Source organism: Homo sapiens, chromosome 8 (genome assembly GCF_000001405.40).
Source record: "Homo sapiens chromosome 8, GRCh38.p14 Primary Assembly".
Classification (NCBI taxonomy): domain Eukaryota; kingdom Metazoa; phylum Chordata; class Mammalia; order Primates; family Hominidae; genus Homo; species Homo sapiens.
The window spans coordinates 100,784,694-100,805,373 of NC_000008.11; the positions used below are offsets into that span (position 1 = coordinate 100,784,694).

The window sequence follows — 20,680 nt, forward strand, 5'->3', positions numbered from 1 at the left end:
TGCAGTTCAACAGAGCCTACAAAGATCAGGAAGGGATTTGCATGTCCGGGAATAAGGCAAAATAGGTATTCACATGAACTTCCCACTGAAAGCAACCAAAAATGTTCGCTAAAAAAAATGTTGGCCAGGCACGGTGGCTCATGCCTGTAATCCCAGCACTTTGGGAGGCTGAGATGGGTAGATCACTTGAGGCCAGGGGTTCAAGACCAGCCTGGCCAACATGGCGAAACTCCGTCTCTACTAAAAATACAAAAATTAGCCAGGCATGATGGCGTGTGCCTGTAATCCCAGCTACTCGGGAGGCTGAGGCATGAGAATCACTTGAACCTGGGAGGTGGAGGTTGCAGTGAGCCAAGATCATGCCACTGCACTCCTGCCTGGGTGACAGAGTGAGATTCCATCTAAAAAAAAATGTTTAGCTTCTCAAAAGCATAAAAGATCTGGCAAAATAGTAAAAAACTAAAGTCCAAAATCAAAGGGAAAATAAGAACTCTGAAAGTTATGTAGAGCCTTGAAGCTGTTTTTGCACTGAGGGCATTTGCCAGCTTAGGCAAACTTGAACTTTGTTTCTGAGGGCCTTTCAGGACAAGGGGTACAGAATCATAGCCCACCACAGCCTGTCCCTCCCCTTACTGTGGGTCATGGGTCAACTCCACAGACAAGGGTGAAACAAAAGTCAATGTGCCTTCCCCATCAGGCCCAGGAGATCACAGGCAAAGCTGCCCTTCTGATAAGCAGACTAGGGCAGGTAGCAATGGTAGGAAACAGCCCTGAGAAGTTACAAGTGCAAATTAGTCCTTTCATGGCTTCCAAATTTATATCACTTTGGTCGTCAAAAATAAATTAACAAAAACCATAAAATCATAAAAACCTCTCGAGTTGTGAATTTAGTTTAAAGTACCTTAGTGCAAAGTGCCCCCTGGGCGACTGGCACAAGCAAATGAAAGTCCTCTCTGTAGGAAATTAGCATCACCCTATGCTTCAAATAATCCCCCCAAATAATTTTTAAGGACAATGATCAGCACGTAGTCAAAAATAACCAAGCCTATAAGGAAATAAGCCATCAAGAATCAGAAATAGAAGAAAGAGACCTGCAAAGACTTCAAATTTTGAAATTATTAGATGGACTCTATAAAAACAACTATGCTTACTAAATTTAATAAAAAATTAGTAAAAAAAAATATGGAAAAGGGAACTATAAAAGTGACCTAGCAGATTTGAAAAAGAACCAGGCCAAGTGCGGTGGCTCATACCTGTAATCCCAGCACTTTGGGAGTCCCAAAGGGAGGATTGCTCGAGCCCAGGAGTTCAAGACCAGCCTGGGCAACATGGTGAAACCCTGTCTCTACAAAATATACAAAAAATTAGCTGGGCCTGGTGGTATGCACCCATAGTCTCAGCTACCTGGGAGGCTGAGGTGGGAGGATTGACTGAGCCCAGGAAGGTTGAGTCTGCAGTGAGCCAAGATCATGCCACTCCACTCCAGCCTGGGTAACAGACTGAGAACCTGTCTCAAAACAAACAAACAAACAAAACCCAAATTGAACTTCTCAAAATTAAAGATACAATAACCAAAATTTAAAACTCAATTGACGTATGTTAACAGCAGATAAATACTAATGAAGAGAGAATTAGAGGACTGCAATATAGATCAGAAGAAATTATGTGCAGTACAGCACAGAAAGACAACAGTATAGAAAATACGAAAGATAGGTTAGGAGACATGGAGAATATAGAGTGAAAAGGTCTAACATTACTTTAATCAGACTCCCAGAAGGAGAGGAGAAAGGGACTTGGAGAAAAATAATATATGAAGACATAATAGCTGAAAATTTTCCAGAACTGATCAAAGACATCAGTCTACACATTTAAGAATGGTAGAAAGAAATGGCAAGAAAAATAAAAAGAAATCTGTATCCAGACACATCATTGTGAAACTTTAACAACCAAAGACAAACGAGGTCTTAAAATCAACCAAAGAAAAAGATGATATTCAAAATAGTGACAAATAGGCAATAGCTGCATGAAAGTAGCAAAGGAAGTCCAAAGCCAGTGGAATGAAACCATCAGTGAACTTAAATAATTGCCAAACCAGAATTCTATATCCAGCAAAAATATCTTTCAAGAATGAAGGCAAAATAAGTCAGTTTTAGACAAATCAATACAGAGTTTCCTCCTAGTACAGTCTGACTTCAGACCTTTCGTTTAGGTAGAATAAAAGTGATCTCATAAGGGACACCTGAGATAAAAGAAAGAAGAAAGTTCAAAGAAGTGGTAAGTATATGGATACATCTAAGTAAATATTATTAAAGTGGTGCAAAAGTAATTGCGGTTTTTGCAAGGAAACAAATTCTCCCACGGAGTCTCTAGAAAGACCACAGCCCTACAGACTCATTTTAGACTTCCAACCTCTAGAAGTGTAAGATAATAAATTTGCGTTGTTGCAAGCACTAAGTTTGTGGTAATTTGTTATAGCAGCAATAGGAAACTAATAAGTACACACACACACACACACACACACACACACACACGCAGTCCCCAACTTACCATGTTGACTTAACAATTTTTTGACTCTATGATGGTGGGAAAGTGATATGCATTCAGTAGAAACCACACTTCCAGTACCCATACAACTATTATGTTTTTGACTGTCACTACAGCATTTAATAAACTATGTGAGATATTAACACTTTATTACAAAATAGGCTTTGTGTTAGATGATTTTGCCCAACTGTAGGCTAATGTAAGTGTTCTCAGCACATTTAAGCTAGGCTAGGCTAATCTATGATGTTTTAGTAGGTTAGGTGTATGAAATGCAATTTTTTTGGAAGACTTTATAGGGGAGTGTTGAATTCTGCTTTTCCCATGGACAGCCTACATGAATTTTTTTGAAATTATTTTTTATTACTTCCTTTACTATCATTCCCAATAAATGCATTTTTAACTTATGATAGTTTTGGCTGGATGCAGTGGCTCACGCCTGTAATCTCAGCACTTTGGGAGGCTGAGGCAGGGGGATTGCTTTGAGCTCAGGAGTTCAAGCTCAAGACTCCATCTCCACAAGAAATTTTAAAAGTTTGCCGTGCATGCTGGTGTGTGCCTGTGGTCCCAGCAACTCAGGAGGCTGAGGCAGGAGGATTCCATGAGCCCAGGTGGTGGAGGCTGCAGTGAGCCATAATCATGCCACTGCACTCACTCCAGCCTGACAGAGCAAGACCCTGTTTCAAAAAAAAAAAAAAAAAAAAAAAAAAGAGAGAGAGAGAGATTTTCAATTTACGATGGGTATATCTGGACATAATCCTATTATAACTCAAGGAGCATCTAAATATATGTGGGGGGGAGTTGTGTGTGTGTGTGTTACTTATAACAAAGCAATAAATAAAAGCAAGGAAGTGACTATCACAGAAGTCAGGATGGTGGTTCCTCTAGTGATTGAGAAGAGAGTCAGAGAGGACAGGGCTCTGAGGCCCTGGCAATTCTGTATCTTGAAATGGGTAGGGTTGCACAGGTTATAATTATTATTATTATTATTATTATTATTATTATTATTATTTTTGTTATGGAGTCTCACTCTGTTGCCCAGGCTGGAGTGCAGTGGCATGATCTCAGCTCACCTCAACCTCCACCTCCTGGGTTCAAGAGATTCTCCTGCCTCAGCCTCCCGAGTAGCTGGGATTACAGGTGTGCACCACTGCACTCTGCTAATAATTATTCTTAAACCATCCATATATGTTTATCCACTCTTTCTGTAATAGTTAACATTTCACAATAACAAAAATGTAAAAAGCCAAAAAAAGGGCCCCGCCCAAAAAACTGAGGAATCCTGGAATTTAGATGGGATTCACAGACTATTTAATTATTAAGTTTCGAGTCATTGAGAGACAGATGAACGATCTGTAGAATATCCCTGTTCCTTATAGTGTCTCCTTACTGCCACCTCACATTTGACTTCTCCTCTGCTTGTTAATTCCCCCACCATAGTTGGGAATGGAAAGAATGTGGAGGAACAAAGGCCACGTGTGGGCTCTTTCGTTAATTAAATATGTGAACTTGGACAAGTTACTTAAACTCTTTGTTTCTTAATCTATAAAATGGAAGTAATCATTTCCTATAAGAACCTCTTAGGGTTCTTTTACAGGAAATAAATGAGATAAAGCACTTACAACAATTTCTATGTAGAAATGTCACTTCTTTTTGAATTTCATTTATCCATCCCCCGTATCTCCACCTCTAAATGTTTATGGAGAACTTGCCTTGTACCAGGCCCTTTGCTGGCTCCTAGGGATACAAAGCCAATAAACCAAAACCCCATCTTCAAAGTGTTCATAGTTTAATAGAGGAAGCAGATGAAAACTACACGATGGTAATGCAAAGGGTCAGTGAGACAAGTAAGGTTTAAACAATGCACTGAGGCATTCCAAGGGAAGGAGTCATTAACCCTGCCGAGGGTGGAGTGAGGCAGGGGCCTGGTCAGGGAAGCCTGCCCAGGGAAACACTTGAGCAAAGTCTTGAAGGATGAGTTGGAATTTTCCAGCTGGAGAAAATGAGGGAGGAAAGGATAAATTTCCAGGAAGGGATCAGTATAGGCAGGCTTGGAAGGAGATGATGGATTGGGGAAATGGCAAGTTGTTGGGTATTAGGGTATTGAGGAGGGAGATGAAATTGGAGTACTCCGCTGTGGTCAGAAATCAAAAGGCCACATTCACCAAATGTAAGTTTGGAACTTCCTCCCCAGGCAGTGGAGGGCTGTTGGGAGCAGGGGTGAGGAGGATCAGAGCTGTATTTTGGAAAAATCCCTCTGCCTCTGTGGGGACGGATGGGAAAGGCTCTACTTGCAGTGAGAGGTGAGAGGACTGAACTAAGGCAGTGGCCTTGGAATGGATAAAGGGGACATAGATTAAGAGTCATTTAGGAGACAGAATTGGGTGGACTTGGTACTCATTGATTCAGGGTGGGGGTAATTGCTCTATTTCCAGCTTGTGCTAATAATGATGGTAGATAATAATACCATTAACCAAGTTAAAGGAAACCAACAGATCGGCTGTGGGGTGAAGATAATAAGAAGTTTGTTTTGGATTTACTGTGGGATATCCAGGCAGAGATTTCTAGTAGGGGGTTGGAAATTTTGTTCTGAAACTCAGAAGAGAAATGAAATGTGGACATAGAGATTTGAAAGCCATTAATATAGAAGCCAGGGGAATGTGTGGGCTATCCCAAGCAATCGATGTTTGTTGAATCACTTGAAAAGCATGAGCAGTGTGCTCCCCTAAGTGCCTTTTTCCTTAGCATGTTTTTGGACCTGGATTAAGAATGTTTTTATTGAGTACCCAAGATCCTTCACCCCAGATCATACAGATTGTAGAGTAGCTACTAATAACTTGGGTCCAGGTTACAGCTTAAATTTAGAGTGTTGGATTTTACCAAAGTCATTCAGGAATGACAAACAAGCAGAAAACTCTCTTAGAGTATTCTGACAGGCAAATCTTGTACCTGGATACCGATTAAGTAAAAATTTTGCACAAAATATTCAATATAATAGCAAGGTTCTGAGAATGTCAAGATCTGTACTCTTCTCAGATGGAAATTTGGTGAGTAACTTGTTAAAATTTTGTAGCATAAATAAAAATCCCTGATGTTTTAAAATTTTCATCTATTATTGTGATTTTCAGTAGCATACCTTGGAAGTTTCAGGCCTCTTGAATGCAGAATCATAGAATTTTTAGCCCTGGAAGGAGCCTTAAAGTCATTGAATCCAGTCCTTTAAGTTTGCAAGTGGAGACACAGAGACTAAGGTGACAGTGCCATGCTGGGCCACTCCGTTTGGGGTGAGTGACCAACCCGAGTGGCCAGCTGAGTGGCCCAGCTGATCCCTGAGTCATTCTTTCCCCTTTCCATATCCTTCCTCTCAATGGAGTCCAAGCTTGCTAAGGTTTCAGGATAAAAATGAACTAAAACTCAGCTGTCCAAATGAAAGGTTTTAATTGATTTATGAATTTAATGCATATCTGTGATGCTTGGAGCTAGATAAGAACAAAAAGCCAAGCGTGATTAAGATTCTTCATTTGCAGGCCGGGCGCGGTGGCTCACGCCTGTAATCCCAGCACTTTGGGAGGCCGAGGCGGGCGGATCACGAGGTCAGGAGATCGAGACCATCCTGGCTAACACGGTGAAACCCCGTCTCTACTAAAAATACAAAAAATTAGCCGGGCGAGGTGGCGGGCGCCTGTAGTCCCAGCTACTCGGGAGGCTGAGGCAGGAGAATGGCGTGAACCCGGGAGGCGGAGCTTGCAGTGAGCCGAGATCGCGCCACTGCACTCCAGCCTGGGCGACAGAGCGAGACTCCGTCTCAAAAAAAAAAAAAAAAAAAAAAAAAAAAAAAAAAAAAAAGATTCTTCATTTGCCTCTTTCTGTCCCAGGTTTCTTGGCAGAATGCATTATTGGAGTTCCACAAGGACAGACCTGCCTGCAGGATAGGACAGTGACAAGGGTCTGATCTCAAGTAGGGTTGCCAGATTTAGCAAATAAAACTAGAGGATGCCCAGTTAAATGTGAATTTCATATAAGCCATGAGTAATTTTCTAGCATAAGTATGTCTTATGCAATATTTGGGATACACTTATACTAAAAAACAGTATCCACTGCTTATCTGCAATTCGAAGTTAACTGGGAGTCCTGTATTTTACCTGGCAATCCTACTCTTAAAGGACGCAGATTTTTAAGCATTTACAGATTATTGAGGCAGTCAGAGTCAGCCCCACTAGAGGTAACTGATGTTTTACAAAATTGCACATTTCAAAACTACCTAGGATTCACTATTCTTTGTGCAAAAGTGAAGGAGTTTTTATGCTGTGCCACTCCCATCTCCTGCCCCCTAAGTGGTAGTATAACGTGAGACCAATCTTTGACAAGATTAGCAAGCGTGGTGGCGGAGGGGGTGGGAGGGCACAGACAGAGTGCCTCAATCTCTGTGTGTTCTAAAGTAGTTGCATTCGCCTTTGTCTTTAGTGGCACAGACCAATTTTGCAGGCACAGAATCAGAATTCGTTACATAATCAGTGATTACAAAACCAGAGCTAAAATGTGGAACAATACAATGTTCTACAGAAAACCATAAAAAGAAGCATTTTGCAAGACAGTGTTTCACTCTTGGCGGATCCTCCATGTGAGCCTCGTTTAATGAGAGACTGAGCTAGTCCCACCGTACTGCAGGGAGCCTCATCACAAAAAAGGGCTGAGCTATGAGCGCGATGAAATGCCAGCCATGTCTCAGCAAATTAGCCGAGTTTGGCGACACGCTCAGCGGCAGTAAGATGTCATGACAATACTAGCTCTAAGAGTGATTTTCAAGTTCCGCCCCTGTGTCCACATGATGAAATCACCTTCCCAGGTGGCTCCGATGTGGTCCGCTGAAAGTGGTAGGGGTGGTGACAGCAATGTCAGTGGAGGTGGGGAGAGGGTTAAAGTGATTCGGCAAATCCAGAAAGAAACACAATTTGATCAATAGAATTAGGATATAGTTGCAAGGATGTTTGTAAAGTCACACCTAGAGCCATGGCCAAATTTTCTCATGGCAGCATTGAGAATCATGCAGTCAGTGACAATTTCAACAGAAAGGCTTTTATAGGACATGTGAGTCTAATATTTTTAAAAAATTCATCATCCAGTCTTAATGTTGTGTAGAGTGAAAAATAAATGTTGAAAACCAGGCCATAGTGAGGTTAAGAATATGGTTAAGTGGCCGGGTGTGGTGGCTCATACCTGTAATCCCAGCACTTTGGGAGGCCAAGGCAGGCGGATCACATAAGGCCAGGAGTTTGAGACCAGCCTGGGAAACATGGCAAAACCCCATCTTTACTAAAAATACAAAAGTCAGTGGGGTGTGGTGGCATACGCATGCCTGTAATCCCAGCTACTTGGGAGGCTGAGGCATGAGAATCTCTTGAACCCAGGAGGTTGAGGCTGCAGTGAGCTGAGATTGTACCACTGAACTCCAGCCTGGGAGACAGAGCAAGACTGTCTAAAAAAAAAAAAAAAAAGAATTTGGTTAATTGTACGAAGTCATATGTGGCTGCTGCCATGGCCAAAATTCACATTAAACAATTATATAATAGTTCTATTTTCTGAAACTTTAATAAAGAATAGTATTTGGTGTCTACTGTGGGCCACATGTTTTACAGGAGCTTTCTATGATCCCATCTAATTATTTTTAATTTATTTTTAAACTGTGATATGGTGGATATACATAACATAAAATGGACCATTTAAACCATTTTTAAGTGTATTTAATGCCACTAAATTATTAATTTTATTTTTTTTGTAGAGACAAGGTCTCACCACGTTGCCCAGGTTGGTCTCAAACTCCGGAGCTCAAGCAATCCTCCTACCTTGAGGATCCTCCTACCTCCTACCCAATACCTGCCAAAGTATTGGGATTACAGGTGTGAGCCACTGCACCTGGTGGCCCAGCATAGGTTTGTTTTGTTTTTTGTTTTAGAAACAGGGTTCTTGCTTTAGTTCTCAGGCTGGAGTGCTGTGGTGTGATCATAGTTCACAGCAATCTCCAACCCCTGGGCTCAAGTAATCCTCCAACCTTAGCCTCCTGAGTAGCTGGAACTACACGCTTCAGCCACTGTGCCCAGTTAATTTTTATTTTTTGTAGAAATAGCGGTCTTGCCATCTTGCCCAGGCTGGTCTTGAACTCCTGGTCTCAAGCAATCCTCCTACCTTGGCCTCCCAAAGTGCTAGGATTACAAGTGTGAGCCACTGCACCCAGACTTAATGCCACTGAATTTTAAGAATCAATTCAGTGGCATGAAGTACGTTCACAGTGTTGTACAACCATCATCACCATCCATCTCTGGGACTTTTTCATCTTCCCAAATTGCAGCTCTACCCATGAAACAATAGCTCCCCATTACCCTCTCCCTCCAGCCTCTGGTAACCATTATCTGACTTTCTGTTGCTATACATTTGCCTATTTGAGATACTTCATATATGTGGAATCATACAATCTTTTTCCTCCTGTGTCTGACCAATTTCACTCAGCATGATGTCTTCAAAGTTCACCCATGATGTAGAGCATGTATTAGCTCATCTAATTCCTAGAACCTGAGAAATCGGTTCTATTATCACCCTAAGGAAATGGCACTGCCCCCCCCAAGCATTGCATGCTTCTGTCTTTGAAATTAAAGTGGAAGTGAATGGTCTATCCTGCTAGGATTGCCCTATGGACACCATAAAGTGTGGCCACATCCTGGGGTTAAGGATCCCAAGTCCTTTGAATCATCCTGGAAGAGGGTTTGGCGATGCTGTGGCGATGTTTTTGAGTTCTTTCAGCCTCCAAGAAGGGATGAAATGGGCCTCGGTGAGAAATAGAGCTGGTTGGTGACTTTCTGGGAACAAGGCCAATTTGTCCAAAGCAACTTTCAGAGGCCCTGAGCCCTGAAATGATCCTGGTGCCTCATCCTATCTCCCCCAAACCCCAATATGGAATTCGCAATAGAAACAATACCAAACCATTCAACTGATGCAAGCATTCAACTAATGCAGGGAAACCCACGATGGTCCCACTACTCCAATGCTTTTTTTTTTCTTTTCCAGAGACTGAGCTTACTCTGTTGTCCAGGCTGGAGTGCAGTGGTGCAATCTTGGCTGACTGCAACCTCCGCCTTCAGGTTCAAGCAATTCTCCTGCCTCAGCCTCCTGCGTAGCTGGGATTACAGGCATGCACCACCATGCCTGGCTAATTTTTGTATTTTTAGTAGAGATGTGGTTTCACCATGTTGGCCAGGCTGCTCTCAAACTCCTGAGCTTAACTGATCCTCCTGCCTCAACCTCCCAAAGTGCTGTGATTACAGGTGTGAGCCACTGTGCACGGCCCCTGATTTTTTTAAGAAAAATATATTTTATTTTGACATAATTTCAGACATACAGAAAAGCTGTAAAAATAATATTGAGTTTTCCTAAATGCTTCACGTAGCTTTCCTTAATGCTAACATGTTGCATAACTATAGTACATGATTAAAATTCAGAATTAACACACATACAATACTATTAACTAGATGACTGACTTTGTTCAGGCTTAACTAATATTTTCACTAATGTTCTTTTCCTGTTTCTATATCCAATCCAGGATTCTGCACTGCATTTTGTTGTCATATGTCCTTACTCAGCTCCAACCTGTGACAGTTACTCAGTCTTCCCTTATCTCTCACAATCTTGACTTTTTTTTTTTTTTTTTTGAGATGGAGTCTTGCTCTGTCTCCCAGGCTGGAGTGCAGTGATGCAATCTCAGCTAACTGCAACCTCCGCCTCCCATGTTCAGGTGATTCTCCTGTATCAGCCTCCCAAGTAGCTGGGATTACAGGCACACCCCGCCATGCCCGGCTAATTCTTTGTAGTTTAGTAGAGACGGGTTTTCACCATGTTGTCCAGGCTGGTCTCGAACACCTGAGGTCAGTCAGTCTGCTCGCCTCAGCCTCCCAAAGTGTTGAGATTACAGGTGTGAGCCACTGCACACGGCTAATGATGATTTTCTATTTTCTTAATTATTAATACATTTATTTGCTTTGAATTCTTCTGTAAGGAAAAGCTGTCCTTTCTCCCACATTTATTTATTTATTCAATTATTTATTGATACCAGTATGGATACATGGATATTTATTTTATACTTTGATGCTTTAAACAATTAATCAAATGTCAAATTATTTTTAAAATTTCTTCTTTTTCTTTTTTTTTTTTTTTTAGGCAGAATCTCACTCTGTCACCCAGGCTAGAGTGCAGTGGCACGATTTAGGCTCACTGCAACCTCCGCTTCCCGGGTTCAAGCGATTCTCCTGCCTCATCCTCCTGAATAGCTGGGATTACAGGCACCTGCCACCACGCTTAGCCGATTTTTTGTATTTTTGGTAGAGACAGGGTTTTACCATATTGGTCAGGCTGGTCTTGAACTCCTGACCTCAAGTGATCCACCCGCCTTGGCCTCTCAAAGTGCTGGGTTACAGCGTGAGCCACCGCACCTGGCTAAAAATTTCTTTTCTCTCTCCCATGTTCATTCTCTGCCTCTTCTTCTGTTACCCAGCATGGTTGGTGACCTAACCATGGAGTGGGCCTGCCTGTTGAGCCATTCTGCTGTGAAGAGATGGGGGTAAGTTCACGGAGAGCTGGCATTGAAGGATGGCTGGGAAGTCTCTGTGCTAGGATGGGGCAGGCAATGGCAATGTGTGTTCTAGATACTGATGTGACTCACCTGCAGTGAGGAGCAGAATTCCTAAGGTCCCCAGGAGGGCAGGAAAGGTGGGGATTCACATTCAGCCACAATGGTCAAGAAAGAGAAAAGGAGTGGGGCTTCAGAACACCTGGGGGTTGATGATGTCTTACACTTGGTGTTTCTCAAGTCCCAGGGCTCAGGTCTGGAGAAAAGGTGATTATGTAGGTCAGCGTCTCCAACTATAGAAAACAAGGCACTTGCTAGCGTAAGCTCAAGGCCATCCTCAGGAATGAATAGCTGTTGACTTTTCATTTTAAGTGCGGATTCGGGCATGTGAGGACAAAGTAATAATTCGGGTGAAAGGTCTCCCTTATGAAAGGATTCACTCTGAATCGCAGAAAACAACTCCTTCTCCTCCTAAGTACACCTTAACATTATTCCTTTTATAAGGGTAAGAGTCAAACTGGGACTTGGTAATCCAGCCAAAAACTGGATTCAGGGTGTGAATGAGCCTTATTGACTCTCTATGTATCCATAAACCACCTTGTAACCCCCCACCTGACATTATGTCTACCTGTCCTATTGAATCAGAGGTCCCCAAAGCAAGCTGAGGGTGCCTACCTTCTTGGGAGAGAAGGACCCAGGCTCCATTCCTGCCACCGTGGGTTTGTAAGTCTTCGTAGACAGTGAGCCCCTTCTGCTTGGCTTCTCCTCCTCAGCTTTTGCAGGCAAGCTAAGGCTTTAGCCTTTCCTCGAGGGAGCTTTGGCCAATTTAGGGCAAAGCGGAACTGTGTTTGGTAGTAACCTCGGGCTTGGGTTTCTGTGTCACTCAGCATACGTGGAATGTTCATGTTTCTGTCTGCCTTCACTTTCGAGCATGTTCTGTGTACCAGGCCCCATACAAAGTGCTTTAGGTAAGTATTACTATCCCATGACAAATGTTTTAGGTAAGTATTATTATCCCATTTTACACATGAAGAAACTGAGACTCAGGGATTTCCACCACCATGGATGGCACAGAGTTAGGACCGAGGTCTCTCCAGCCCCAAAGTTGAGCCTTCATCCATCAAGCCATGCCACTTTTGGAATTGTGTCTGTCCAACGTCAGAACTTCTTTCATTCCCTGTCCTTGTCCTTGTTGAATGTTGTATGTTCAGAGATTTTTCCTTGGCTTTAGGGTCTGGGTCACAACTCCACCACACCCTCAGGGACATGGTGCATCTCACCAGGGAGGTTATTCCTTCAAAAGTGTGGGCTCTTGGGGCGACACTGAAAGGGGAGTCAGAGCTTCAGAGTTTGTGGTTTCCTGGGCAAATTCCACAGTGAAAAGAACAAGACAAGAATCATTCATTTGAGTGCTTTAAAATAATAAATTATTGTTTCTATTTCCTGAGCACTTACAAAGTGCCAGGCATTGCGACAAGCACTTCACACACATTATCTCACCATATTTCCAACTACCCGCAAGGTATAGGTCCCAATCCCTTACCTGGTTCCGTTCAGATTCAGGTATGTTTCAGAATTCCGAAGCGTTCATGTTTTTAAGGGGCAAATCTGTGCCTGTACTGTATTTTTCATAACACCTCCCAGCAAGGTCTGGGGTGACATCCATCATTAGACATCGATATTTCTGCAGCTGACATATGGATAATCATGCTTAATGGGATAAATAAAAACTATATTATATAAAGTCTCATAATCTTTCAGGTCAGGTTTTACCATCAAATGAATTTCCTGCTAACTTAAAAAAAAAGCTGTTTTTCAGAGCCTACTGGATTTCTGAATTGCTGATAAGGGATTATGGATCTGGAATATTATTTTTCCCACTGTATAGATGAGAAAACTGAGATTTAGAGACATCAAGGAACTTATCCAAGGTCATACCACTAAGTGGTGGAGCCAGGGTTTGGAGCTGGTTTGATGTGCTTGTACCCCAGCACTTTTTTTTTTTAACCTCTGTTTTAACTTTAAAGCTTCACATGGCAGGAGATAAAAGTATTTGGAGGTGGGGGTTTTGGAGGTTTGTTTTTGTTTGTTTGTTTTTGTTGTTGTAGTTGTTTTTTTGGAGACAGGGTCTCACTCTGTTGCCCAGGCTGGATTGCAGTGGCATGATCATGGCTCACTGCAACCTTGACCTCCTGGGCTCAGGTGATCTTCCCATCTCAGCCTCCCAGGTAGCTGGGACTACAGGTGTGCGTGACCACACCCAGGTAATTTTTTTAGAGATGGGGTTTTGCCATGTTGCCCAGGCTGGTCTCAAAATGCTGGGCTCAAGCAATCCACCCTCCTCATCCTTCCAAAGTAGATAAAAGTTTTCGGACTTCATTGACTTTATTTCTTCATGAGGATCCACTTAAAGCTGACATCCAAATACATTTTCACTGGGAATGATTAATAAATGTTTCTCATAAATTGATAGGCTAGACCATATTTCTGTATCCAGTCACCTTCTCAAAGAGGTTAACAAAACAGAACATCATCATGTTTGGGAGGAGGAGGTGTGTAACTTTCCCATTTTCACTAAGAAAATAGTTTGTCCCTTTCTGTTCTTTCCACCTTCATGTGTTTTCTTGTTTGGTTCCATTTCTGCTCTGGTTAATGTATTTGAAGCCTCTGGTTTCCGTTCATCCAGGTGCCAGGAGCCACTGGTGTCCCCATCGCCTCATTTTCTTCCCCTAGGCAGGGCTTCTCCTCAGCATCTCATTGACCCCATTGTTCAAAGTTCTTGCCAATCCTCCCATCCATGGATTTCAATATGTAAACCCCATCTTGACAACTACTTGCTGAGTGAATATTAGAGAAATAGGATCGTTTCACATAAACATCTGCTACTTCATTCTAGAACTTAAAAGTTTGTGATTCCAGTTAAAGCAGACGAGCCTGTTTTTCAGGGGATTGCAGAGGACAGAGGTGAGGGGTGTGTGTGTATTCCTGCTGCTTTGCCAAGTCTCCCACCTCCTCCAAGTCACTAAGAATGGGGACACCTGGCCAGCTACTCAGCAAGACATCAGATTCTGGGAGGCAGATGAGAAAAGCAGGGAGAGATTGGCTTTTTGGCACTTGCATCTCTGCAGTTCAGCTGGTCTGGGCCTGGGCTAAGTGACTGTTACTGGCTACAGGTTCTGGATAATGAGTTCAGAGACTGGGATCCATTGACAGGCACTTGGTTGACTTTGTCTCTACAGTTTTTCAATTAAGTAGATTGTTCTTCTGAAGGCAATTTTGAAACATCCAAATTTTGGTGGGACAGAGCAATTGCCGGTATTGTTAGGTTATTTGGTAGCATCTGAGGATGGGGAAAAGAAAAACAATACAAAGTGGATCTGTTCCCTTTTAAAATTTTGTTTTTCCACAGTCATCTCTCTTCTTACAAAATCCTGTCTCACCCCTGATGATCTTACGAAAAACACTCTTTTGTTCTTCAAGTTATAAGAAAACAAACCGTGGAAAGTAGCTGATTTTCATTAAAAACTGATGAATGCTTGGGTCAAATCTCCTAATTACAGAGATCAAAGGAGACTAATAAATTTTAACTCAAAGTTCTTTTTTTCTTCAAAAGAATAGCCTTCAGTGAAAACAAGTACTTCCTAACCCAATAAAGAAATCTGCAACAATCCATTCTCCTAGCTAATTTACTTAAGAGTTGTGTTTGTTTAAATTACACATGCTCTGGTGTGTCTGGCCTTCCCTTTCTTCTTTACAACTCAAGCCAGTGAAATACCAACAGGGTTCTTTCTTTCTCTTTCTTTCTTTCTTTCTTTCTTTCTTTCCTTCTTTCTTTCTTTCTTTCTTTCTTTCTTTCTTTCTTTCTTTCTTTCTTTCTTTCTTTCTTTCTTTCTTTCTTTTTGTTTTTTTTAGAGATAAGGTTCTCACTATGTTGCTCAGGCTGGTCTTAAACTCCTGGGCTCAAGCAATACTCCTGCCTCAGCCTCCCAAAGTGTTGGGATTACAGGCGTGAGCTGCTGCACCCAGCCCAACAGGGATTTTCATGGGCACTATTTCTTTTGATGATAAAGCATCCCCCCATTTCTCTTTTGTTTATGTTTGAGGTAACTATGCATTCGCAGCCTCACAGATCCTCTCTTCTCTCACCTTTGATTCCAGGTAATGTTTTCTCTCCTTGACAATGCAGACCTGCAACCCATGGTTCTGTTCTCAGCTCCCTCCTTCCTTACTCTGCCCTCTGTCCCTCTGTCCCTCTGTGGTTATCCATTGCTGTGACCTGATTGCCCTCCTATAAGCTGGAGACCAGCTCTCCAGAGCTAAGAATTCAGCTGCCTTCTCTTGGACTTCTCTGTTGGGATATTTCACGGGCACCTCAAACTCAACATGTCCTGAAGCGTCCTTGTCATCCACCACCACCCTTCCTCCCGCCATCACTGCCTCCACACCTTATCGGCCTCTTCCTCAACCCTAGTCTTTCTCTTAATCCTCAAGCTCAATGGATGGTTCTATTCTTTACTCTTCTTCTAAGTCAGAGTTATCCTCCATCATCCTCCGTGATTCCTTCATCCCTCAGATCCTGTCAGGCATGCAGTTCTGTCAATGCTGCTTCCTGAGCAGCTTCGGAAGCCATCCCTCTCCTCCATGCCACTGCATTGCCTCAGTGCGGGTCCTCCTCCCTCACCTGGACTACTCAGCCTCCCGACACTAACTCCTACAGCCCTGGGTCATCCTCACCCCACTCATCCTAACCACATCCCAAACCAGCCTTTGGGTACTGTACTCTCATGGAAGCTAATTTTCTCAAACACAAGTCTGATTTTTTCCCCTCTTTGTATGTTCCTCTTCATTTACAAATTAAAATCCTACATTTTCAGCACTGTATTCAAGGCCCTCCGTGTTCTGGATGCATCGTCTGCCTTGCATGTTTAATGGTGCCTGACACTTCTCATGGATCCTTGAACATAGCATATGGCTTCACATCTCTGGGCCTCTGCACACGATGTTTCCTCTATCTAGAATGCTCTTTCCCCTAATCTGCCTAGAAGACACTCACATGGTCTTTCATGTCAACAGACGTTTATCGAGTGTCTACTATGAGCCCCAAGACTGCTAGGCAGTGGAGACAGAAAAGTGAGAAGGTGTGGTCCTCTTCTTGGCCATCCAGTTGAAACATCAGCTCTTGAAGCTCCCCGTAAATCTCCCCTCTCCAACCCTACCACCTATGCACAGTAGACCATTTTTCCTTACTGTGCTTCTTTCCACTTGGTGCATAATTCCTTCGCTGCACTTACATGGTATAACTTTTGTTTGTCTGCTGAGGCTCAGACCAATGTTCATTGCTTTGGGGGAGGAAGTATGTAGTTTAAGAATATATGGGCACTAGCATCTGTGTGGTAGGTAGAATTCTAAAATTGTCCAAAGATTCCTGACCCTTGGTGTGCATGCCTTCCCCTTGATGTAGGCAGGAGTGGTGAATATGATGGAATTTTACTCCAGTGAATAGATTACATTATATAGCAAAGGTGAAGAGGTTTTGCAGATTAATTAAGGTTGGCTTTGAGTTCATTGAAAGGGAATTTATCCTGGGTAGGCCTGACCTAATCAAGTGAGCCATTCAAAAGAGAATACAGGCCTTTGCTGAAAGGAGAGATCTGAAGCAGTGGAGACCTTCTCTTATTGGCCATGAAGAAGCAATTTGCTATGTTGTGGAGAAAGTTGTATGCCAGGAGCAGTGGGTGGCTTCTAGGAGCTGAAGGCCTTAGTCTCACAACCACAAGCCACTGGATTCTGCCAGCAAATGGTAAGCTTGAAAGAAGATCCCAAGCCTCATATGAAATTGCAGTCCTGGCTGACATAATCATTTTAGCCTCATGAGACCTTGAGCAGAGACCTCAGCTAAAATGTGCCCAAACTTCTGACCCATAGAAATGGTGAGATAATAAATGGGTGTTGTTTCAAGACACTAAATTTGTGGTAATATGTTATACAACAGGAAAAAACTAATACAATCTGATAGGCTTGTATTGAATTCCTGTTCTTTAGTTACTACAAATGTGATCTTGGACTTAACCTCTCTGAGCCTGAGTTTCCTCATCTGTAAAATGGGTAATACCTACCGGTAAAATGAGTAATAGTAAAACCTACCTTATGGTACATTTGTGAGGGTTAAATATACTCAGTACATTTGAGTTGAATGAATGAATGATGCTGAGTCACTTTAAAGAACAAATATAGCACATGTACCGTCTGAACCTCAAGTAAAAAAATTTTTTAAAAAGAACAGGTATAAACACAGCCTTTTCATCTGATTTTTTTTTTCTAATTTAGTGCTGGTATAATCCTAGTTCACTCATATATAAAATTAGGTACCACCTAGATGACATTTTAGGTGCCTTCTAGTTATACATTCTATAATGCTGATAATCTTGAGATAAGGTCTTAGAATGATAATCTTAAAGTTGCAAAAAAAAATTAGTATTCTTAAAGAGTACCCTAAAAGAGATATTTGTTAATGAGATATTCTTCTTTCCTGAGCCTCTCTCTTGAACCAGTCACTATCCCCAACACAATACCATCAGGTATTAATATCCAGATGTCTGCACTGACATTGATAGCATTAGTGCAAAGGTTTTGCCAGCTGAAAATGCAAAATAGTCTTTGATCAAATGTTAAAGACACATTTGGATTTCTTTGATTTTTTTTTTTTTTTTTAAATGGAGTTTCCCTGTTGCCCAGGCTGGAGTACAGTGGCATGATCTCGGCTTGCTGCAACATCCGCCTCCCGGATGTTCAAGCGATTCTTTTGCCTCAGCCTCCCAAGAGGCTTGGGCTGCAGGCACGCACCACCGCACCTGGCTAATTTTTATATTTTTAGTAGAGACAGGTTTTGCCAGGTTGGCCAGGCTGGTCTTGAACTCCTGACCTCAAATGATCCACCCACCTCGGCCAAAGTGCTGAGATTACAGGTGTGAGCCACCGCACCCGGCCTCTTTGAATATTAATATATCCTAGTAATATGAGGAATATGACCTAAAAGTAGAAATAAAGAAGTACATATACTTAACAGGTGATGAGATTTTGTTTTACTTATGCTTTACTTATGCTTTTCTCTGAAATGCCATGGGAGATTCAGTCCCTAATATTTGGCAGAGGGAGGTGATAAGGAATCCTTCTATAACTGTTGCTGCTGCTGTTTGGGCAAGTGGAATATATATACATACATTTTATTATGAACACAAATGTAAATACTGACTTACCATTGGGATGTTGGCAACTGTCTGTCAACTAAGATCCCAAAGGGATCCCGATGACTATCCAGAGATGTAGTTTATCTTTAGAGCTACCTTTCAACATCAAGTGATATTCCAGACTTATCTACCTCTTAGCAAGAGGGAACAGTAGAATGCCCTCTCAGAGGTGCACGCCTTGGTGTGCTACGGGGAGGTCCATGTTGTGCCAGCACTATCTCTCCTCAGCCATAAGGCTCACGTTAAACTTCTCAGCCAAGAGCAGAAGATTGTGTTCCCTAAGAGGCCTCTGTTAACCATATACTACCTGAGCAGCAGTTTGTGAAGAATGAAATCCAAAAAGAGCAACTAGTCAAGGTGTGTGAGTGTGTGTGTGTGTGTGTGCCTCTGGGTGGGGAGAAATGGCACAACCATCTCTTCCTAACCCACCCCTGCTCCCAGCAGACACACCCATGGTCAGCTTGGCTGTACAGGGTGGAGATGGAATCACAAAGGGTCTTGCCATGGTTAGGACAGCTCTGAGGGAAGTAAAGGCCCTGTGTCGCTCACAATAGTACAGCCTTGCCCTCCAAGGGAAGGGAGGAATGGGTGGGCCTGTGCAGGGAGTAGAGAGGGAGGTATCTGTGATTATCTAGGGGGAGAAAGGAAAGGCTGAATGCTCTCAGTCCCCGAAGATGCAGGAGCCTCAGACAGGCTGCAAATCCCCTCCTCCACATGGTGACCACAGCCAGAACAGCCCCAGAAGCTGCAGCTCCTTCACTGCAGCTGTTCCAACACTGGGGTGGGCTCAGACCCAGGCAAAACACCAGGTCCCAAGATACACTTGGTTTATGAAAGGCCTCCCTTCCCCTTCATGATGGGGTGCAGTGTGGGGTAGAAAACGCCCATGTCCCTGCCTCTGGGACTGAGTCACTTGAGGATGCTGCAGAGTTACCAAAAACCTGCCTGCGCCTGGTCTCAGTAGCCCCACCAGATAGCAATTGTTATTGTGATTATTGTTCTATAGAGGAGAAAACAGTTTCAGCAAGGTTAATGGGCTTGCCCAGACAGTGGTAAAAATGACCCCTAGCTCAGGCCTCCTTAGCCAGACCTTTCTGTAATCTTGTGCTCTGTCTGTCTGATATTCTGGGGCAGGAAAGAGAAACCAGGGCAAGGGCCTCAAGACTCTCTTCATCACCAACTCCCTGCAAGTCAGTTTGGGCAACAGCACACGGACTTGTCCTCTGCCTGGTTTTCTAGTTGAGCTGGTTCCCCATAGTATGCGGAAGCTTTAAAATGGCCCTTCAGCTGTGCATGGTGAGAGAAGGCATCTGGCAGATGAGCACCTCGCATATGGTGGAGGAGGTGAGGGGCTTAGGGGGAGGGAGCATTGCCAACCCCACCTCCTCCCAGGAGGCAGGAGAGCTCAGGTCCAGAGCATGGACTGTGGAGCCAGGCAGAGCTGAAACCAAGTCTTACCTCTACAGTGATTAGTTATATGACCTTGAGCAAGTTATTTACTTTTTCTAAGTCTCTGGCTCCTCAACAGTAAAAAATCGGAAAAATGATGGCATCTCTCTTCTGTTATTAAGAGGATTATATGAGATAAGGAATGCAAAGCACTTTGCACAGTGCCAGACCCACTGAAAGAACTCCTTAATGATACATAACACATGCCACGGAACACCCATTTATTCATTCCGCAAGAATTTATGGAAGGCCACAACTCTGTCCAGTGGTGTGCTAAAAATTTTATACCTGGGGCTTTACTCACATAGGTCTCCTTAGAATCTAATCACACAAATAGTCCTTTATGTATACATATTGTAATATGTGCTGGTTGTATAGACATGGAAAATGGGTTTTGGTGCTTAAGTTATTTCTGCCCTTTATCTCTCCTTTATTTCCAGCAATGAGGATGTAGCTGAATGCGTATGGGACTGGAGTGAAGGCAGTTGCATACTAGCTGTGAACAGCTGGGCAAGCCACTTAGCTTCTCCAAGTCTCTGCTTCTCACCTGCAAAATGGGGAGAATCACACCATCCCAAATTGCAGCAATGGCTTGGGTAAAGCACTGGACTTAGGGCAGATGCTCAATACATATTAGTTGTCCCTCTACATTTCAACATGTTTTGGTGGGATTAGGAAGTATTCACTCGTGGCCATTCCCAGCCTCCACCCACCACTCCCCCACCCCCTGCCGCTAAAGTGGACTCAAGCCTGGCTGTCCAGGCGTCTTCTCTCAAGCCAATTTGGGGCTTTGCACAGGAGATTTCAGAAAAGGGTGGAAAGAACAGTA

The 20,680-nt window shown here is 43.0% G+C and overlaps 1 annotated feature.

Moving 5' to 3' along the window:
* Nucleotides 4,523–5,253: an enhancer, noted in NCBI's record as "OCT4-NANOG-H3K27ac hESC enhancer chr8:101801444-101802174 (GRCh37/hg19 assembly coordinates)". NCBI's record gives its function as "activates a minimal SCP1, AML or CMV promoter by ChIP-STARR-seq in naive H9 embryonic stem cells {active_cell/tissue: H9 hESC(naive)}" and the evidence as "EXISTENCE:reporter gene assay evidence [ECO:0000049][PMID:30033119]".